This window comes from Homo sapiens, chromosome 2 (genome assembly GCF_000001405.40).
Source record: "Homo sapiens chromosome 2, GRCh38.p14 Primary Assembly".
In the NCBI taxonomy this organism is placed as follows: domain Eukaryota; kingdom Metazoa; phylum Chordata; class Mammalia; order Primates; family Hominidae; genus Homo; species Homo sapiens.
In genome coordinates this window covers 218,539,612-218,562,071 of record NC_000002.12, presented here as the reverse complement: position 1 = coordinate 218,562,071, position 22,460 = coordinate 218,539,612, and the positions used below count along the sequence as shown (strand labels likewise).

The 22,460-nt window shown below is 38.2% G+C and overlaps 1 protein-coding gene across 1 annotated transcript in view; it reads left to right on the top strand.

Moving 5' to 3' along the window:
* USP37 (ubiquitin specific peptidase 37) overlaps nt 1–22,460 on the top strand; it is a 118,101-nt gene that overhangs the window by 6,280 nt on the left and 89,361 nt on the right. Inside the window, exons 3-8 of the mRNA NM_020935.3 lie at nt 1,189–1,252; nt 3,395–3,574; nt 8,348–8,519; nt 12,163–12,263; nt 14,981–15,153; nt 15,774–15,851. Coding sequence (NP_065986.3) covers nt 3,419–3,574; nt 8,348–8,519; nt 12,163–12,263; nt 14,981–15,153; nt 15,774–15,851 — 680 coding nt within the window. The 5' untranslated portion in view covers nt 1,189–1,252; nt 3,395–3,418. The remainder of the gene's footprint in view (nt 1–1,188; nt 1,253–3,394; nt 3,575–8,347; nt 8,520–12,162; nt 12,264–14,980; nt 15,154–15,773; nt 15,852–22,460) is intronic.

Sequence of the window (22,460 nt, the reverse complement as noted above, 5' to 3'; positions counted from 1 at the left end):
CAATTTTATGTCCTACATCTTTTATATAAAGCTTTTTAAAGAGGGTAATGTGTAAATTGAGTCTTGATTTTAGAGCCAGGAGAAGAAATTAAGGAGGGTTGGGGATGGGGAGAACACATAAAAATCCTCTAGACATGACCTCTGTGTATGCAAAGGTATAGTGGCATGAGAACATAGAGATTTTTGAGGAAATTATAAGTAATTCAGAAGGATTTGGGGGTTTTATTGGGAATAGACAGGTAAGCAGGGCCTGAGTCCTGAAGGGCCTCTACGTCACATTAGTGAGTTTAGATTTTATTGCGAGAACAAGTGGAGAGCTATTGAATGATATAAAGCAAGAGAGGGATATGATTTGATCTGCAGTTCATTATAAGGCTGTCTGAAAGGTGTATGGAGGTAGAATTTTTTTTTTTTTTTTTCTGAGACAGAGTCTGGCTCCAGGCTGGAGTGCAGTGGTATGATCTCGGCTCACTGCAGCCTCTGCCTCCCGGATTCCAGCGATTCTCTTGCCTCAGCCTCCCAAGTAGCTGGAATTACAGGCGCACGCCACCACACCTGGCTAATTTTTGTATTTTTGGTAGAGATGGGGTTTCACCATGTTGGCCAGGCTGGTCTCAAACTCCTGACCTCAGGTGATCTGCCCACCTCGGCCTCGCAAAGTGCTGGGATTACAGGCATCAGCCACAGCTCCCGATCTGTGGAGGCAGAATTGATGGGATTCTCCTGACTTTCCATCTCTAATCTAATACCAATAATTATCAAGAAGGAAGCCAAAGACAAGTCTTCTGTTTCTGGCATGGGAAACTGGAGTAGAAGAGTGATGTATTCTTTGTAGCACTGAGTGGCGGAGTGGAAAAAAGTCTCAAGGATGTATCCAACAATAAAGTCACAAATTATAATTGCAGAAAAAAGTATTACAGATATACATTGCTGGCTCAAGTTTCTGTAGCTCTGTAGCATTACTAGTTTGAGCCAAATGTCATGTTAACAGACAGTTCTATAAACATTAATGGACTCTATTACTTTGACGAATTCATATTACCCAGCACATTATACTAATATCTAAATCTGCCCATAGTAAGCACTTAAAAATTTTTGATGAGATGAGTGAATAATAATAGAGTACTTATGATACTTAACACCTTTAAACTCTCGAAAGTGTTTTCATATATCTTCTTTTATCTTCAGTTATTTGCCATACAGTAACCAGAGACCTCCAACTAGGGGCCCCCAAACTGTATCCTGCCTGTAGGTGAGTTTTGTTTGATTTGTAGCTGTTAAAAATAAATTTGAATTCATTGCCAACAATTAAAAATGGACAGTTTTACATAAACGTTTGGATGTCTTTATTTTCTTGAAAAGTTAGATGGTCTGGCAATGCTAGGTTCGCTATTTCTACATGGTAATAATTGGCTAGATTGGGTAGCAATTGTTCAAATTTTGCCTGCTTAAGTCATTTCTGTCACCTGCTAGCCCCTATAGATAGTTGAGTTAGTGACTCCTGTTAACATTGTATTTATTGAGGTCTTTGGAGAAAGAGGTATTATGGACATGGAATAAATTCAGAAAACAGACATTAATTCCATTAATATTAATTACTGCTGTCTGCTGAGTGCCTAGTATGTATTATTTCATTCTACAACACTAAAACATTTGCTATTCCTATTTTGTGGTTGAGAAAACTTATGGTTAAAGAAGGTAAGTTACAAATTAGTAAGTGATAGGGCTGGCTGGCTGCTGATTTCTAGACCTAGCATCATTTTCCTTTATATACTAGCCTTTCTGGCTTTTCTTGTTGAGCTGTTTAGGCAAAGGTAATGTTTAATTGTGTTTAATTTAGTAAATTATAAGCAAGAATCCACTTTAGAAGTAGTGTTTTTAAAGGTTTGAAATAGTATAAAATTTGAGTTCGCAATTTTAAATGATTGCATATTTATGTATGTAACACACTATTTGATAACATTCTTTGCTATAACTGTAATTTTATTTACTTGTTGACTTTTGCAAAAGCTAATTTGAAGAGTTTTACACATCCGATTATTGCTGTAAGTTTAAGTTTTTTGTGTTTTTTTTTTGTTTGTTTGTTTTGAGACAGGGTCTCACTCAGAGTGTCACCTAGGCTGGAATTGAGTGGTGCAATCATGGCTCACTGCAGCCTCGACCTCCCTGGCTCAGGTGATCCTCCCATCTCAGCCTCTGGAGTAGTTGGAGCTACAGGAGCACATGACCATGCCAGGCTAATTTTTTGGTATTTTTTGTAGAGATGAGGTTTTTGCCGTGTTGCTCAAGCAGTCTGCCCACCTCATCCTTCCAAAGTGCTGGGATTACAGGCATGAGCCACTGTGTCCGGCCATTTTTTCTTTTTAGTTTTCAAATATTGCCTGACAAGCACCCAGCCATTTTTGAGTATTAAAAGTTCATTCAGGAAACTTGAGTATTTGTTAAAGATAAAATTGGTAAAGATTCTTTCTAGGAATGGTAGTTTAAATATAAATGGTAGGTGGTTCTTTGGAAGAGAGGTTTTTTGTTTGTTTTCTCTAGAGATTAAATGATTTCCTCAAATATTGTAATTCTGGAGGTCAAATAACTTGGTTATTTTTAAAATTTTTTACTCATTTAATGTCTTCTGTACATACGGATATGCTTAGATTGCTCACTGTTAGAAGGAAGCATTTGGTGATATACTTTGATGTTTTGGGAGGAACTCCATTCTAAGAAATGGAGTCAGAGGCCTGAATTTTGTATTGTTTTGTTTTGTTTTGAGACAGTGTCTTCACTCTATTGCCCAGGCGGGAGTGCAGTGGGTAGTCATGGCTCACTGCAGCCTTGACCTCCTGTGCTCAAGTGATCCTCCCACTTCAGCCCCTCTAGAAGCTGAGACTATAGGCGTGTATCACCATGCCTGGCTAATGTTTTTTCAGTTTTTTTGTAGCGATAGAGCCTCCCTGTGTTGCCCAGGCTGGTCTCAAATTCCCAGGCTTAAGCAGTCCTCCCACCTCAACTTCTCAAAGTTTTGGGATTACAGGCTGAGCCACCATGCCTGGCCTGAACACACTTTTTTTTTTTTTTTAACTTATATTTGGAAATCCAGACCCATTAGCTTTCATGAAGGAAGAGAATAATCAACACTTTAATGGTGAAGGCAATCACTTTGAGAATGGGATCTTATTCCTGTTGACATGTCTTTAGCGGTAGCAGTATGGTTGTGAATGATACAAAATGTAGAATTTAGGCACTAATAAATACAGTACTGGACACATGGCAAAGAAGGGAAAATGAAGGCGCAGAAGAAATGCATGGTGGTTAGAAATTAATTACTAGTAAGTTATAACTTATCTTATTTTTCTTCCTTAGAACCTGCCAGGTAAAGGTATATTTTTGCTTTTTAATTTAGCCAGAAGCAATTTTTAAAGAAAATATGTCTCCTCTGAAGATACATGGTCCTATCAGAATTCGAAGTATGCAGACTGGGATTACAAAGTGGAAAGAAGGATCCTTTGAAATTGTAGAAAAAGAGAATAAAGTCAGCCTAGTAGTTCACTACAATACTGGAGGAATTCCAAGGATATTTCAGGTAATACCAAATATTGATTTGGAATAGCTCTTGAAGCAGATCATTTAGTAAATAGCTATTCTGTGCCATAGTAAACATCACAGTAGCCCTCCTCCTAGATTAATATTTCTTGCTTCTTATTTCTAGGACATTAATATTTTTATGTACATGTTTTATAAATTATTCATCAGTATTGTTGTTGGTATATAATAAAAGCAGGAAGTAGTCACCATTATTGAAAAGAAAACTTGTGGGAGGAAGCTGACAAGAGTTCGGATACTGTATATCTAAGCTATTTTTAAAACCACTTTAAGATAATTTTAGTTCTTCCTTTTTTTCCCCTTAACATACATGACGATGGATTCATCACTATTTAGTGTTAGTTTTTAACAGAATTTATTAGTGTCTTCTAAAAGCCAGTGTCTACTTCCTGAATAATCCTGCCAAATGTCATGGTGTGAATCATTCAAGGATGATTATTCAAGGTTATCTTTATAGCTATTTTCTTCTAACTGTGAAGTTTTGAAGAATCTTCATTTTCACTGCAAAAATTAATTTTCTTTTCACCTTTTTTTTTTTTTTTTTTTTGAGACAGAGTCTTCCTCTGTCACCCAGGCTGGAATACAATGACATGATTTCGGCTCATTGCAACCTCTGCCTCCCGGGTTCAAGCGATTCTCCTGCCTCAGCCTCCTGAGTAGCTGGGATTACAGGTGTGCGCCACCACTCCTGGCTAATTTTTTTTTGTATTTTTAGTAGAGACAGGGTTTCACCATGTTGGTCAGGCTGGTCTTGAACTCCTGACCTCGTGATCTGCTCGCCTCGGCCTCCCAAAGTGCTGGGATTACAGCCGTGAGCCACCGCGCCCAGCCAAGATATTATATTTTTAAATTAGATTATGCAAAAGTGTAATATCCGTTCTAAAATATTCTATTGAAAAACAATATTTAACTTTATGCTTCAGAACCTGATCTTAGGTAAAATTTGTATTTGTCTCTGCTTTTGAATTGTAAAAATAGATTGCCTATGATTTCGTGTATCAAAGGTAGTCTTAAATAAGATAGAGGTGGTGATGGAAAAATAGTAGTTTGTCACATGCATATATCTGCTAATTGTTCGCCTCATCAAAAGAAAGGGTTTTTTGCAAATACAGGCTCATTTTTTTTTCAATCCTCAGCCCAATTTGGCAGTGAGTAAATATTCAAATGTTTAACCAAATACAGATCTTTAGGAGCATGACGGTTTTACCTGTGACTTCAGCCTTTATCTCAGTTCCAGATCAGTTTACATTCAGCATTCGTTTGTTAAAACCATGTACAGGTTACTGCTATGGATATTGTGCTAAGGGATGGCTGGGCGCAGTGGCTCATGCCTGTAATCCCAGCACTTTGGGAGGCTGAGGCAGGAGGATTGCTTGAGTCCAGGAGTCCAAGACCAGCCTGGGCAACATGGCGAGACCCTGTCTCTACAAAAAAAAATTCAGAAACAAATAGCCAAGCATGTTGGTATGTACCTGTAGTCCCAGCTACTTATAAGGTTGAGGTGGGAAGATGGCTTGAGCCTGTGATCATGCCACCGCACTCCAGCCTGCGTGACAAAGCAGGATCCTGTCTGAAAAAGAAACAGGGTGGTTGGGGGACAGGGGCTGGTAAGTATACACAGCTGAATGAGACATCATTTCCTTCAAACTTAAGAGTAACCAAATAGGCCAGGCGTGATGGCTCACGTCTGTAATCCCAGCACTTTGGGAGGCTGAGGTGGGCAGATCACCTGAGGTCAGGAGTTCGAGACCAGCCTGGCCAACATGGTGAAAACCTGTCTCTACTAAAAATACAAAAATTAGCAGGCACGGTAGTGGGCACCTGTATTCCCAGCTACTCGGGAGGCTGAAGCAGGAGAATAGCTTGAATCCGGGAGGCAGAGGTTGCAGTGAGCTGAAATCTCACCATTGCACTCCAGCCTGGGCAACAAGAGCGAAACTCCATCTCAAAAAAAAAAAAAAAAAAAAAAAAAAACAGAAAAACCCAGAGTAACCAAATACATTTTTAGCTGTAAAAACATTACAAAGATCCTGAGGTAACACAAGAAAGCAAGCCATTTGCACTCTGAAGATTCAAAGAATAAATAGAAGTTTGCCAAACATAGTAAAGGTGGAAGTGATGTCTTTTTTTTTTCTTTAACCCTGAATTTTCTGGCCAAACTGGAAGTGATTTCTGTATATTTTCTGGCCAAACTGGAAGTGATTTCTGTATGTAGACAAATACATGAAATGTGAATCAGCACTCAGGGAACTAGAAAGTTATTTTTAAAATATATGGACACTGAGGAGTGAGTAACAGAAATAAGGCTGAAGAGCTAGGTAGGAACCAGATATTGATGTTTCTTGTTTGTCATAAGGAAAGCAGAAGTTCTAAGGAGCCAAGAATCTCAAACTCACATTTCTTTGGGGCTAGGCAGATGACTTTATTTCAGGTGATAGTGGGAGAATAGAAGGACATATAGGAGGTTATTATGGGAGTTTAGATGAGGAATGAAAGTAAGGAAAAGGGAGTGGAGTAAGCAAGAAGAGGAAAGGATAGATCTGAAGAGATTTCAAGAAGATTTAAAGATTTGGGAGGTGTGAGAGAAAATTATCTGGGGAGAGTCTCAAGTTTTTGAGTGGATGGCAGTCACTTTTATGTCTTCCATGATACGGAGCAGAGGGGAAGAATTGGGGTGTGAGGATTAGGAGAGATGAGTTATCTGAGGTGTCAAGCATTCAGAAGGTAAACAGGACTGGAGCTCCAACAGAGAGGTCTGGGCTTAAGATAGAGGAAGAGTTGTGTGTCGTTACCATATGAATAGTTACTGAAATTGTGGGGCTGGATGGGCTTTTCAGTTGTTGAAGTGTCGAAGTTCAAGAAGATTCTCATCTTTTTTGTTAATGAACAAACTTTGCTTTGTATATTTAATTTTTAAAAAGTGATAAATTGACTGAAATAATGCGTTTAATGTTATCTATTTTCCTTTTGCATACTAAACTGCTTATTTAAGTATTTTGGAGTTAAAAGCATCTAAAACGAATTATTGTGTTTTCCTAGAGAATTTCCACTCAAGGACATAATTTTACGACCCACTTTGATGCTAAAAATACATATATAATTTAAAATTTGAATATAAATTGGCAAAATTGTTTTTCATTCTTATCTAATAATTAACAAAAGTCAATTTTCTCTAGTTTAAAAAAAATTCTGAAGTATGTTACTAGTTCTTTGTTTATGCTTTTCAGAGGGCATGTCTTCAGTAAAAGGCAGTTTAGAAACTTTTATATATGCCTGCTGAGAACATTAGAGAATAAGGCTGCCTGACTGGCAGGAATTATTTAGATAATGAAGAAACTGTAAGATTTACTAATTTAGCCTTGGAAAAATTCCATTTAAGAGAAAATAAAAGTTATCGCTTCATAGCACATTTCCAAAGTCTGGTAGAGTCTAAGATGAATTATTGAACCAGTTCTGTGGAGAGAGAAGTAAGTTAAGAGTTTTCAGGTCCATATGATCTTTGAATGAAACTTAAGTGAGTTTTCTTAGTTAAAAAAGAAAAAAAAAGTGTGCTATATTGGTAAAGGTTTATTTTTGATGGTTTTTGAAAGTTTGGAATTCTTTTGAGGATTATTTAATTGCTTGGAATAATATCTTTTATATTGAAACTACCTAAATAATTTGCCAAATGTCTTACAAACTTTTGTTTAACAAAAGACAAAGATTCTACTCCAATTTTTTTTTTTTTTTTTGAGACAAAGTTTTGCTCTGTCATCCAGGCTGGAGTGCAGGGGCACACTCTCAACTCACTGCAGCCTCCACTTCCTGGGTTCGAGCTATTTTCCTGCCTCAGCCTCCCGAGTAGTTGGGACTACAGGTGTGCTCCACTATGCCTGGCTACTTTTTGTCTTTTTAGTAGAGATGGGATTTCGCCATGTTGGCCAGGCTGGTCTTGAACTCCTGACCTCAGGTGATCTGCCTGCCTCAGCCTCCCAAAGTGCTGGGATTACAGGCATGAGCCATGGCACCTGGCTTTCTACTTCCATTTGGTTTTCTAAACTGGTGATAATGTAACCGTCCAAGGTTCTGAAATGTGTTAACTCAGTAGTTTTTATCCTCTATAACTATATCTGAAAATAAGGGATTCCCTACCATGAGATCAAGAGTTCTAGGATTGTTCCGTAAAATTAATTTTAGTAGAAGAGTAAGTCCACACTTTATATTGTCAGTTGGTTCTTGAAAACTGTGACTAAGAAATGAAACTAGTTTTTTTCCTCATCAACATTATAATGAAGGAAATGATGTTATTTGAGGACCTGCTATATGTCCTTTTGCTTAATGTTTAACACATTAAAAACATCAGAAAATGAAGGGGTAGCAGTGCTGCCTTTAATTAATGTCTCCATTTGACACAATATTCTTATAAAATAAAAAGTTTTCATGGTTGTTTGCCATTTAGTACCAAGAACCTATTGACAACATTCATTAAGGGCTTTTTTAAAACAATTCTTTATTTTTCCTTCTCTATTACCCTTGGTGCAAGATCTCTGTATAATTAAAGGCTTATTGCATGTGTTTGCATCTCCTAAAAGGTAAATCTTTAATTTAAATGTATCAAGAAATGGGAACTTCTTTTGGTTGAAAAAAATTAAATTACTGTGGGGAAGAGTGATAAATGTAACATGGAAAGTATAAAGTTTAGTATTTATTATACAGATTGTTATACTTAGTTGTCATACATTTTTGATGATAATTTTCCTTTTGTCTTGATTAGCTAAGTCATAACATTAAAAATGTGGTGCTTCGACCCAGTGGAGCGAAACAAAGCCGCCTAATGTTAACTCTGCAAGATAACAGCTTCTTGTCTATTGACAAAGTACCAAGTAAGGATGCAGAGGAAATGAGGTTGTTTCTAGATGCAGTCCATCAAAACAGACTTCCTGCAGGTGAGTACTAATCACCCCAGGGTCTAACGTTAGTATTTTTACAAGGCTATGACTAGACTACAGACCAATATTCAACTGAATTCATCAGCACATTAAAAGGATTATACACCATGAGCAAATAAGATTTATTCCTGAAATTCAAAGATAGTTCACCATATGAAAATCAATCTGTGTAACACATCATTCTTGACAAATGAAGGACGAAAACCACATGATCATCTGAATTGTTGCAGATGAAAACATTGACAAAATCCAACACTCTTTCATGATAAAAACACTCAACAAACTAGGAGTAGAAGGAAACGACTCAGCGTAATAAAGGTCATATGCAACAACTTACAGCTAACATCGTACTTAGGGGTGAAAAACTGGAAATGTTTCCTCTAAGATCATTAGCAAGGCAGGAATACCTGCTCTTGCCACTTCTATTTAACATAGTACTAGAAGTCTTAGCCAGAGCCATTAGGCAAGAAAAGGAAATAACAGGCATCCAAATTGGATAGGAAGAAGTAAAATTATTTGTGTTTGCAGATGACTTGATCTTATATGTAGATTCCACAAAACAATATGATTAGACAAAGGAGCAGGATTTTTTATTATTTATTTATTTGTTTGTTTGTTTGTTTGTTTGTTTTGAAATGGAGTCTTGCTCTAACACCTAGGCTGGAGTGCAGTCGTGTGATCTCAGCTCACTGCAACCTCCACCAGGGAGGAGGATTTAAATTACAGTTGGGAAAAGTTACCTTGTTGCATAAATCTTAGACACTTACCTATCTATATGAAAATTATTCTGAAGTTTTACTCTTGCTGTGGAAAATGAGTCCTGTAAAAAAATCACATGGTATGATCAGGTTCCTCTGCCCCCTCTAACCCCTTTCATTTAAAATAGTGGTTTTTTTTTCTTTTAATGCATTTACAGGCACTTTTTCTTTTCTTTTCTTTTCTCTTTTTCTTTTTCTTTTTTTTGAGACAGTGTCTCACTCTGTCACCCAGGTTGAAGTACAGTGGCAAGATTCCACTCTGTTTCCCAGGCTGTTATCGAACTCCTGGGCCCAAGCGATTGACCTTCCTTGGCCTGCCAAAGTGCTGGGATTACAGGTGTGAGCCACTGCCTGGCCCTACAGCCATCTTTTTAGGAAAAAATCTCTGCTTAAAATGAGTTCTCTACTATCACATTAGTCTTTAGCTCTGTCATCTTCAACATTTTACTATTACTTCTATTTTGTAGTTGACAAACTTACTTGAATTTTTTCAACTTAAATATGACACATTAAAAACATCAGAAAATGAAGGTGTAGCAGTACTACCTTTAATTAGTATCTCCATTCGACACCGTATTCTTGTAAAATAAAAGCTTTTTATGATTGTTTGCCATTTAGTACCTACTCATTATATGTTCATGCCACCAAATTGGAGCATATCAATTTACTAAACTATTGAATTTTAGAATCAAGAAATTGAGGCCAGGCACGGTTGCTCACACCTGTAATCCCAGCACTTTGGGAGGCCGAGGTGGGCGGATCACGAGGTCAAGAGATCGAGACCATCCTGGCTAACACGGTGAAACCCCATCTCTACTAAAAATACAAAAAATTAGCCAGGCATGGTGGCGAGTGCCTGTAGTCCCAGCTACTTGGGAGGCTGAGGCAGAAGAATGGCGTGAACCCGGGAGGCAGAGGTTACAGTGAGCCGAGATTGCGCCACTGCACTCCAGCCTGGGCTACAGAGTGAGACTCCATCTCAAAAAAAAAAAAGAATCAAGAAATTGAATACTATTTAAAATTCTTAGAATATGTCAGAGGCTAGTTTATATCTCTGTTTTAGTTTTATTTCATCTTACCCATATTAATGGAATCACTGTTTTAACAATTGATACGTGTAAGAAAAGCATGTCTTCAAATCCACTGGAGTGGAAAGCACAATATACTGTCTGGGGACCAATATTGAACAACATAGCATAATGAAAAAATATGGGCTTTGGCCATAAATAGATGTAGGTTGAAATTCTAGCTCTGCCTGTTATTTCTGTGTGGTTTTAGGTAAGTCACTTAGTGACTGAATTTTAATTTCCTAATCTCTAACATGAAAGTATCACCTTGATTTCAGGGCTTCTTAAAGAATGAGAGCTCGTAAATGTAAAAGTATGACTTCCCTATGCTAGGCACTCAGTAAGTCATTGGCGTTATTAGAATAGCTAGCTGTGGGCTTAACTCTTAATTCATTCTGTGATCTTGGGCAAGTTATTTTAATCTCAGGTTTAGTTGCTTTAGCTGCCCAAAGGTGGTTATTATATACTTTGCAGAGACTAGAGCAAAATAATGAATAAAAATACTTTGAACAGCATAAAGCATTTAATATAAGCATGGCATTTCAAATCAGTGGACAAAAGACTAATATTTGATAAAGTGTTAACCATAAACAAGACAACTAACCATTTAGGAAGTTAATACACTTGGATCCTTATCTCCAGTGACCAAAGATTTGAATGTAAAAAAAAATGATAAAAGTATTGTAAAAAGTACTTTTAACATAATCTCTGGATGGAAAAGACTTTTCTGGGTGTTACATAAAAACTAGAATTAATAAAGGAAAAAGATTGAAAACTTGTGTTAAAAAATTAGACAGTCTATCTGGCAAGGAACAAAAGACAAAGGAAGAAAATAGTAGCCAGAGTGACAAAGTTAATATTGCTAATATACAAAGACCTATTTTGCAAATCAATTAAAAAAAAACTAGTAGAGAAATTGACAAAAACTGCAAATAGAGAATTCAGGAAGCAAAATAGATGGCCCTTACACATGAAAAAATTCTCGACTTCACCAAACTCAGATTCCTACTACCACATTGGTAGCAGTGTGAGGGGAAGCAAGATACTCTCATATACTTGGTAGGAGCATAGAGGTTTTTTTTTTTTTTTCTTTTTTCTTTTTTTTTTGAGGACTGTAATAATGTCAGTTTAGTTTAAAATTGTATGTTCGCTCAGTAATTCTTATTATAAGGAGTTTTTCCTACAAAAAGGTTTGTGAAAGGATGTTAAGCATTGTTTGCAACTTTGAAAAATTAAAACATTTCAAATGGTCATCAGTTGGAAATTGGCTAACCAAATTAATTATAAAATATTTTTAAAAGTATATGCAAATTTATATTTATACAATACCTTGAATGTTCCTTGAACTACCATTAGTTTCTTCAGAATAGAAGCCATTTATTCTGCTGGATAAACTTACCTGTAGAGAATGTTTTGGAGTATATGTTATTGGAGATACAACTGTCACTGTTTCTGACATCCAGTGTCAGTGTTCATGTTGTTGATACACAATGACTTTTCCATAGTGTTATTAATATAATTACCAAATGTTTATTCTAGCTTTTTTTTTGCTTTGTAAATTTTAGCCTTCTATTAAATGTTTTCAGGTATATGTGTTACTTAATTTTTTGCTTCAGATTCTAGCTCTAAATTTTAGTTTATATAAGATGTATATTCTGTCAGAAAGAATTGGTTGATAGGCACTTTGATTTGTTTTCTTTTTTGCCTGCTGTTTCGTCCATTTCTTCAATATTATATAAAAATAATAATGATAAATCTTTTTGTTAAAGTGAGTGATTTGGGGATTTTAAAAAAAATTATATTTTTGGTCACCAGCCATGAAACCGTCTCAGGGGTCTGGTAGTTTTGGAGCCATTCTGGGCAGCAGGACCTCACAGAAGGAAACCAGCAGGCAGCTTTCTTACTCAGACAATCAGGTATGTTCATTTGAATCTTTTTAGCATTTAAAAAAAATGATAGTTGGCCAGGCACAGTGGCTCACGCCTGTAATCCCAGCACTTGGGAGGCCGAGGCGGGTGGATCACCCGAGGTCAGGAGTCTGAGACCAGCCTGGCCAACATGGTGAAACCCCATCTCTACTAAAAATAGAAAAATTAGCCAGGCGTGGTGGCACATACCTGTAATCCTAGCTACTCAGGAGGCCGAGGCAGGAGAATTGCTTGAACCCAGGAGGTGGAGGTTGTAGTGAGCTGAGCTCATGGCATTGCACTCCAGCCAGGGCAACAGAGCAAGACTCCATCTCAAAAAAAAAAAAAAAAAAGATAGTCATAGACTATCAAGGGTATTTCTGCATACCTGAAATGTATCATTTCATTTAGGTATCATTCCAAACCATAGAGTAAGAGAAACTTTGAAGCTTTTCTGTAAGTAAATTTATGAATTCTCTTTGGCTGTGCAAAGAGGTGATCACTTAGTCCACTTATTGGACTAAGCAATGAATAAGATTTCATTTTTGTCAGGTTCTTTTTATAGGTTAGATTTTTGGGGGACATTTTTATTGAGATATAATTGACATGCAGTAAGTTGTGTATATTTAAAGTACAATTTGATATATTTTGACTTACATATGTCCTTAAAATCGTCATCATAATCAACATAGTGAACATAACCATAACTCTTGAGATTTCTTATTCTTCTTAGTAATCCTTCCCTCTGATCCCTATCCAGAAGCAACCACTGATATGTTTTCTCCCACTATAGATTAGGTTGTAATTTCTGGAGTTTTATATAAATGGAATGAGCGTGTAATTTTGGGAGGGCAGGGTCTGGCTTCCCTCAGCATAATTATTTTGAGATTCATACATTCCTTGGAATTTAAATTGTTGAAATATTATTTAAATGCATAAGTGTTAACACATATAGCAGAAGCAAGTATTTATGCTTTCACAAGTAGTAATTCTCGTTAGTGGAGTCATAAATTCAATTTTGTGGGTCATAACTAACATTAAATTTAAAAAGTAGAATAGAAAATAATAGAGAATATTGTACATATTAAGGATAAATACTGATTTTTCAAACTTTTATTTTGGTTTATTTATACATATTTATAATAGGTTTTGATGTAAAATATTTCTTACTATGCGGCCAGGCGTGGTGGCTCACTCCTGTAATCCCAGCACTTTGGGAGGCTGAGGTGGGCAGATTCCTTGAGCCCAGGAGTTTGAGACCAGCCTGGGCAACATGTGAAACCCTGTCTCTACAAAAAAAAATACATAAATTAGTTGGGCATGGTGGTGTGCACCTGTAGTCCCAGCTGCTTCGAAGACTGGGGTGGGAGAATCACCTGAACCTGGGAAGTCAAGGCTGCAGGAAGCAGTGATTGTGCCACTGCACTCCAGCCTGGTTGACAGAGTAAGACTCTGTCTTAAATATATATATGTAATATATATATTTGTTACTATGGGATGGGATAATATTCAAAATTCTGAAAAAGTTGCAAAACAGTGGACATGTAGTATGCTACTGTTTGTATAACAAAAAGTAAAATATTGATTTGTATTTGCATAACAGAACAAGGGAAGAATTAGTGGGAAAAGGGGAAGTGGAAGAACTGAGTGGATGGTCATAGTGAGACTTATCATTGGTCTGTGGCTTCTAATATTACTTTGATTTGTGAACCTTGAGAATATATCACTCATTTGAAAATAAGTTTAACTTTTTAAAGTATTCATTCAGATGCTCTTAGAAGTTTTAAAATTTCCTATCCTAGGATTGTAATTCTGTAAAACAAAAGTAATAGGACATAACTTCTATAGAAAAATCGCATAGCTCTTAATGTAGAGATATAAAACTTAACTGGCAGAGTGTTCATGTAAAGCTGTATTTCTCAGCTAATGCTTACATTGCCATATTCTCTTTGAGTGTTCTTGCCATGTCTTAAGGGTAGACTCTTTGATTCATCTTCATATTGAACTCTATCTCACCTTCCTTTTCCCTATCATATGTTTCATTCCTCCAAACTAGAACCCTCTCAAGAGTCATGACTGTTTTGTTGGCATTTAAGTTGTGGCAACCAAATGTCACTGTCACCTTTTCTTAACTTGTCATAATCATAATTAGATATTTTTTTCCTCCAAAGATCAGTTCCCATGCTGATCACTAGAGCCATGTCTGTGTGTGTCTTTTTTTTTTTTTTTTTTTTGGTTAGTAATTCAAAGCAGTGTTCTTGCCCCCTCAACAGGTGTGCTGTGGAGTTTTTAAGTTTATAAGAATGCTATAGGAAAATAAGTGTCAAGCTCAATTTTTCACACTGACTGTACATTAGAATCACCTGGAGTGCTTTTAAAAACAACAACAAACAACAACAACAACAAAACTGATGAATGAGCCTTACCGCAGATCAACTAGAATAGAATCTCTAGAGATGTATCTCCATTTGTATTTTTTCCTTTTTTTAGAGATAGGGTCTTGCTCTGTCGCCTAGGCTAGATTGCAGTGGTACAGTTGTAGCTCACTATAACCTCAAACTATTGAGCTCAAGTGATCCTCCCGCCTTCGCTTTCTGGGATTACAGGCATGAGCCATCGCACCTGGCTCCATTTGTATTTTTTAAACCTTTCCATTGGAGAATCACTGTTCTAAAAGTATTCCAGTTAATTTGAAGATTTAACTATCTCAAACTTTATTTTTACAGGCTTCTGCAAAAAGAGGAAGTTTGGAAACTAAAGATGATATTCCATTTCGAAAAGTTCTTGGTAATCCGGGTAGAGGATCGATTAAGACTGTAGCAGGAAGTGGAATAGCTCGGACGATTCCTTCTTTGACATCTACTTCAACACCTCTTAGATCAGGGTTGCTAGAAAATCGGTAGGAGAGACTTTTTTCTTAGTCACTAGCTGTATCTGTAAATGTCTTTTAGGCCTTTTAGAAATACCAGTAATTTGAGGAGAAATAAAGTATAGAGTACATTTTTGGTAGATGTAATGATTACAAGTATTTGTCATATGTAGTTTATGTCAGTGACATGTATTAAGCATACAAATATACAGCATATAAATTTAAATATGGGCCAGGTGTGATAGCTCACGCCTGTAATCCCAACACTTTGGGAGACTGAGGCGGGCGGATCATGAGGTCAGGAGATTGAGACCATCCTGGCTAACATAGTGAAAACCCTTCTCTACTAAAAATACAAAAAAATTAGCCTGGTGTGGTGGCACACGCCTATAGTCCCAGCTACTCGGGAGGCTGAGGCAGGAGAATCGCTTGAACCTGGGAGGCAGAGGTTGCGGTGAGCCAAGATCATGTCACTACACTTCAGACTGGGGTGACAGAGCGAGACTGTCTGGAAAATAATAATAATTAAATATGGTGTAGAGAATTAGATAATAGTAGTCCCATTTCCTGTCCTTCAGTATGTTGATTTATGAATTTTTGTGATATGAATTGTGGCTTTTTAAAAGTAACCTTTTCTTTGTTCTCTGTAGTACTGAAAAGAGGAAAAGAATGATATCAACTGGCTCAGAATTGAATGAAGATTACCCTAAGGAAAATGATTCATCATCGTAAGTTACTTTAAGGGCCTTTATAGTGTTAGAGCAGTGTTTCTTATATTGGTATTTGTAACCACTGGGGAAGATTGGGGAAATGGTTTTAATTTATGAGAATTCCAAAGATGGAAGAGCAGAATGTAAAGTAGTTTGGTGACAGTAGACTGTAGGCTCAATAGAGAGGGAAATTAGCCAGTGCTATTGCTTTGGTCATTTCATTGCATTTCTCTTATCCTGCCTTTTCTTAAATCTGCAGTACTTAGTGGGAGAATAGAACTGAAGAACTCTAAACAAATGTTTCTTGCTGGCTGCTGTTTTAGTGTGAACCCCTTCTTGTCTTCTTTATGCTTAATTAAAAAAAAAATTTTTACTTTTTCATTTTACTCATGTAAAAAGTCAGCCTAGAGGTTAAAGGATGTGAGCCTATGTGTTCTAGGCAAGTAGCATTAATCTTTCAGAGATGTTTTCTGGGTTGAACAAAAGGGAATAGATCAACCCAGGGTGCTCGCCAACTCGTAATCATCGTCCTCATTTTGTGAGGATTTTTTTTTTTGTCTTCTAGGGGAGAAAACTAATTATACAGTTATCAGTTAAAATCTCAATTAATACCTTAACAGAATCAGTTGGTAGACAGTTAATTGGTACTTGAGGTCAAGAGGTCACTAGAAAGGAGTTGGGAAAAAGCCAAAGAAACTTTATGTATTAATTGATTTGCTGCTGTAATAGATGTAAAAGTCTGAATAGGTGGTAGGACTGGTATCTGAAACTATAATCACCAAGGACTCAGATTCTTTCTGTCTTGTTGTTCTGCCATCCTTAATTAATAAGCAGCCTCCATTTTGTGGACCAAGGTAGCCACTTCAGTCTCTACTTTCTTGTCTCCATTTCTATTAGTTGAAGAGAGCAAAGGGAGGGCATGCTGTTTCCTTAGGCTGGAAATTGCATATACCACCTTTGTGCATATCACATTGGCCAGAACTTAATCACATGGTTATATCAGGTTATGAGAAGGTCTGGGAAATATGCCTGTATTTCAACTATTGTGGCAAAAGCGTACAGTGGTTATTTAGGGACAACTAATACAACTAATAGTCTGCCTTAGTTTGCCCCTACAGCCACTGAAATAACCCAGTTCACTATTCTTCCATACATAGAACACCCTTATCTCTATCCAAATGGAGAAGAACTCCAAATCTCATGAGAACATTGTATCCAGCTCAGAGTCTAGGATCTTTGAGTGATCTTTCTCTCTGGGTGCGGTCTTCTCTAGAAGGTCTAAATGTACCTTGGACCATGCCCCTCATGGTCTGGTACCTAAAAACTAAAAGGCATGTTAATTTGCATTCCCCACTCCAGACCTCATGCACACATCATTATACATTGCTGGAGTAGGAACAGAATAATCACAGTAAAAATTTCTGTTTAAAATAGACAAGAATAGGAAACTGGAGGGGTCTTGGGTCTATAGCAGTGATAAAATCTTGCTAGGTGGAAATTCTGAGGACAGTGAAGGCGTTGGAATAAGTTCCTGGTTAGCCCATCTAGCAGTCTGATTCTGTTGTCTGGGAGAAACCCCCTTGCCCATTGTACTCCATGTGACCCCTGGCTTTGCCCTCTGGCAGATTTTCCTTGTTTGTTTTCTTTAAAGGCTACCACCAAAATAGATTTTGAAGACTATATTTTTCATCAAGGCCATATAGCTTTTATAGCCTGCTTCATCCAAGTTTAAAGATTCTTTAAAGGTAAAACAAGCAGGCTTGAGAAAGAATTGGGGTCTCTCTCTCTCTCTCTCTCTCTCTCTCTCTATATATATATATATATATATATATTTTTTTTTTTTTTTTTTTTTGTGAAACGGAGTCTTGTTCTGTCACCCAGGCTGGAGTGCAGTGGCACGATGTCAGCTCACTGCAACCTCCACCTCCCAGGTTCAAGCAAGGTTGAAGCACTGCCTCAGCCTCCCATGTAGCTTGGACTACAAGCGTGTGCCACCACGCCCAGCTAATTTTTGTATTTTTAGTAGAGACAGGGTTTCACCATGTTGTCCAGGCTGGTCTGGAACTCCTGACCTCAAGTGATCTGCCCGCCTCGACCTCCCAAAGTGCTGGGATTATAGGCATGAGCCACTGCACCTGGCCTGTTTTAATATACTTTTTAATTTTGAAATAATCTAATTTGCAGAAAAGTCACAAAGATAACATAGAATGTTCCTGTATACCCCTTACCCAGCTTCTGCTAATATTAATATCAAAGTTACTTTCTACAAAACTGACTCTCTAGTTAACTCTTACCACTGCCTCAGTTTGAGAATCAAAAGCAATTGGATATTTTTATCCCATGGTTTCAAATTACCAGACAATTTTGATTCTAGGTTCTTGGCACAGAGAGCTATGTTTTTTTTTTTGTTTGTTTTTTGTTTTTTGTTTTTTTGAGACGGAGTCTCGCTGTGTTGCCCAGGCTGGAGTGCAGTGGTGTGATCTCAGCTCACTGCAAGCTCTGCCTCCTGGGTTCACACCATTCTCCTGCCAAGTAGCTGGGACTACAGGCACCCGCCACCACACCCAGCTAATTTATTTTTTGTATTTTTAGTAGAGACAGGGTTTCACGGTGTTAGCCAGAATGGTCTTGATTTCCTGACCTCGTGATCCATCTGCCTCAGGCTCCCAAAGTGCTGGGATTACAGGCATGAGCCACCACGCCTGTCCTGTTTTTTTTTTTTTTTTTTTTTTTTTTTGAGACGGAGTCATGCACTGTCGCCCAGGCTAGAGTGCAATGGTGCCATCTCGACTCACTGCAATCTCCGCCTCCTGGGTTCAAGTGATTCTCCTGCCTCAGCTTCCCAAGTAGCTGGGATTACAGGCGTGCACCACCATGCCTGGCTAATTTTTGTGTTTTTAGTAGAGACGGGGTTTCACCATGTTGCCCAGGCTGGTCTCGAACTTCTGAGCTCAGGTGATCTGCCCACCTCGGCCTCGCAAGGTGCTGGGATTATAGGCATGAGCCACCATGCCTGTCCACTATGTTTCTTTTCATCACTGATTGCAAGCTGATTAGCTTTGGCCTAAATTTATATGTCTCAAATAGGACCTTGTTGAAAGCAATAAGAAGCACTAACACAGACCAGTATCCTTAATTGTAATCTTTTACTGTAGAGCTATAGGTTCAGTGAGTATGAGATCTGCCTTTCAAGACATTAATATGACCGTTTTTATCAAATATTTTACTAAGGCATAAAATGGTCATCACCTTTCTAATCTGTAATATCGGTATTCGTACCTCCCTATCCTCTTACTAAGCCAGTGCTACATGTTTTAGGTTTGTTATGGTAGCACCCTACTTTTAATAACAAATTTTGTATATTCAAGGTCTAGTTGAAGGGAACAAAATTCACTCTAGCGAGTTTATGCACAAAGGTATTTGCACACAATAAGTATTAAACGGCTTACAGAATCATTAGGACAGTTGAAAAGACAGGCTTTAAGTTAAGTTTTCAGGAATGATTTTGAGAGGTTTGCCTCAAACCAGATCACCAAAGATGCTCCCAGCTATTCTATCATGAAGCTAACAGCTGAATTGGAATCTATCATGAAAGCTGTCCTCTCTAGAACCGTGCTGTCACTGCCAATATTGGAAACCCTGTATAGAAAAACCAAGGTGATATTTAGCATCAGAAATAGTGGAATGGTAATGCTTCTGCCTTATTTACACTTCCCAGATCTTGCATGTAATTGCCTTATTTTAAATCTGATCCAGAACACTAACTAAGAAATGTAGGGTTACTTTATTAGCATTCTTGTTTCTGCACATCAGGGAGGTACACCAGAATGTGGTTGTGCATGCCAGTCTAGCATGTTCACTACACTTTTGGGAAGTCCCAGTTGTTCCAATTAGAAGTCTGTCTGTTAAACACTAGGTTACCGATCCTTGTTCTGGGTTACTAATACTTTTACACCATCACATCTAGATTTTTTTTAAGTTTGCACTCCTTAGAAGCTGACCTAGATGAATATACTTGTGCAAATGACATTTAAAGCAGTGCTTATAGAGGAGACAAATAACAGAGTGGGAGAAGCAGGCCAGAGAAGAAGAGGAAGCCAAGCAAGAGTGTGATCTCAGGTAAAAGTACCACAGAGAATAGGCTTCGTCTTGATCTAGCAGGGAAACTCTTGGGTTGTTCTAGCTTGAGGCAGGGAGGCTGGGATTTCCTATTTCCATACTGGACCATCTTTGGTTACCAGTTGCTCTGGCTCTGTCCAGGTGGGCAAAATGTTTTAAGTAGTTAAATGCAGTCCTCTGAAGAACTGCAGATGCTGACTGGTGAACCACATTGAAAATACACAGTCTAGGGGTGTGTAAAGGATAAAAAGGATCTTAGAGACTCTGATGGAGCGTCACCATTGTCCACTAAAAGAGTTGGTACTATAGTTCCCCCTTCCCCTAGCTTGTACCGTTTATATTGACTCCTGTCTTGTATTAAGTTTATTCCATTTTGTCATGGATTCTTCATATTGTTGCTTCCCACTTCTGGGGAAGAATCTTACAAAAGGAGGCTTAGTGGGATTAACCACAGTGTGTTGCTGCAGGTGGTCTTAGGGCTGTAACCCATATTGACATCTCTTCCTACCATCAATTCCATGCATCCTCTATTAACACTTCTGCTCATCTTGATAGTTTGACTGAATGGCATTACCGAGATCTTCATCTGAGGGATTTGAGCCTTTGGTCACCATGTGCTTGTCAGACTGTGGTTGTTGTGATTGCCCATTATAATTACATGAGAGCTATGCTTATCACTGAGCATGAGAGCATTAAGAGGCACCCTAGTGAATCCCCTTTATACCATATAAATTCCTCACTGCCCTCGTTATATAGCAGCAACCCGTCTTCCTTACAATAGTCATTTACCCCTGCCAGTATGGTAACTCCTTTTCTTTCCTATGAATCTGCCTGCATGAGGAGCTCAAAATAGCTAGGTAACAGCCATAACTTCAGGTTTAATTGTTCTTCAACTGTCCTCCTTGATTAAAAAGCACCCCCTCTGGGAACTAGGACCCACAAAATCTAATTTGGAGAGACAGCACAAATTCTCCAAGTGAGTTATTGAAAAATAATGGCAAATGGGGCTACTCCTGCTTTTACTTCTTGGTTGCTGGACCCATATATTTTTTACAAATGGAATGATTTATTGGTATCTTGAAGGCCACCCCATTCTTAATGAGATCCTCTTCATTCTGCACTTTTAAAGGGTATTGCAGCACTTTATCAGGCCAGCAGCTTTGGGGTAATACTGTATGTGGTAGGAACTGTGGATCTTTGTGGTCATATGCTGTCATTGTACCTCCTATTCTGCAAAGTGGAATCCTTGTTCTAAGATACTATGTGAGTTTTCTTGTTAGTGAATGAGATACTCCTATGAGTCCTTGGATAGTAATACTGGTCAAGGCACCATAGACAGCATAGGCAAATGTATATAGTAGTCCCCCCTTATGCATGATTTTACTTTCTGTGGTTTCAATTACCTATGGTCAACCTTGGTCCAAAAATGTTAAATGGAAAATTCCAGAAATAAATAATTCATAAGTTTTGTTTTGGTTTTGAGACAGGGTCTTGCTCCAGCCCAGGCTGGAGTGCACTGGTGTAGTCATAGCTCACTGTAGCCTCCAACTCCTGGGCTTAAGCAGTCAAGCCTCAGCCTCCCAAATAGAACTACAGGCATGTGCCACCATACCTGGCTAGTCTTGGCTATTTTTATTTTTATTTTTATAGGGATGCAGTCTTGCTATGTTGCCCAGGCTGGTCTTGAATTCCTGGCCTCAAATAATCCTCCCACCTGGCCTCCCAAAGTGCTGGGATTATAGGCAAAAACTACTGCACCTGGCCCTAATTCATAGGTTTTAAATGGTGCACTGTTTTGAGTAGCACAATGAAACCTTGAGCTGTCCCATTCCATCTGGCCTGGGATGTGAATCATTCCTTCGTTTAGTGGCTCCACACTGTATATGCTACCCGCCCATTAGTCACTTAATAGCCATCTTGGTTATCAGACCAACTGTGAGAGTATTGCTGTGTTTATGTTAAGTAACCCTTATATTACTTAATGATTATCCAAAGCACGACAGTAGTGATGCTGGCAATTCAGATGTGCCAAAGAGAAACTGTAAAGTGCCTCCTTTAAGTGAAAAGGTAAAAGCTCTCAACAAAGAAATAAAAAAAAAGATTTTTTTTTGAGATGGAGTCCCACTCTGTCACCTAGGCTGGGATGCAGTGGCATGATCTTGGCTCATTGCAACCTCTGCCTCCTGGTTTCACTCAATTCTCCTGCCTCAGCCTCCTGAGTAGCTGGGATCACAGGTGCGTGCCATCACACCCGGCTAATTTTTGTATTTTTAGTAGGGATGGGGTTTCACCATGTTAGCCAGGCTGGTCTCGAACTCCTGACATCGTGATCCGCCTACCTCGGCCTCCCAAAGTGCTGGGATTACAGCCATGAGCCACTGCGCCCGGCCAGGTTTTTTATTTTTTTGAGACAATCTTGCTCTATTACCTGGGCTGGAGTGCAGTGACACAATCTCAGCTCACTGCAACCTCCGCCTCCCGGGCTCAGGCGATCCTTCCACCTCAGCC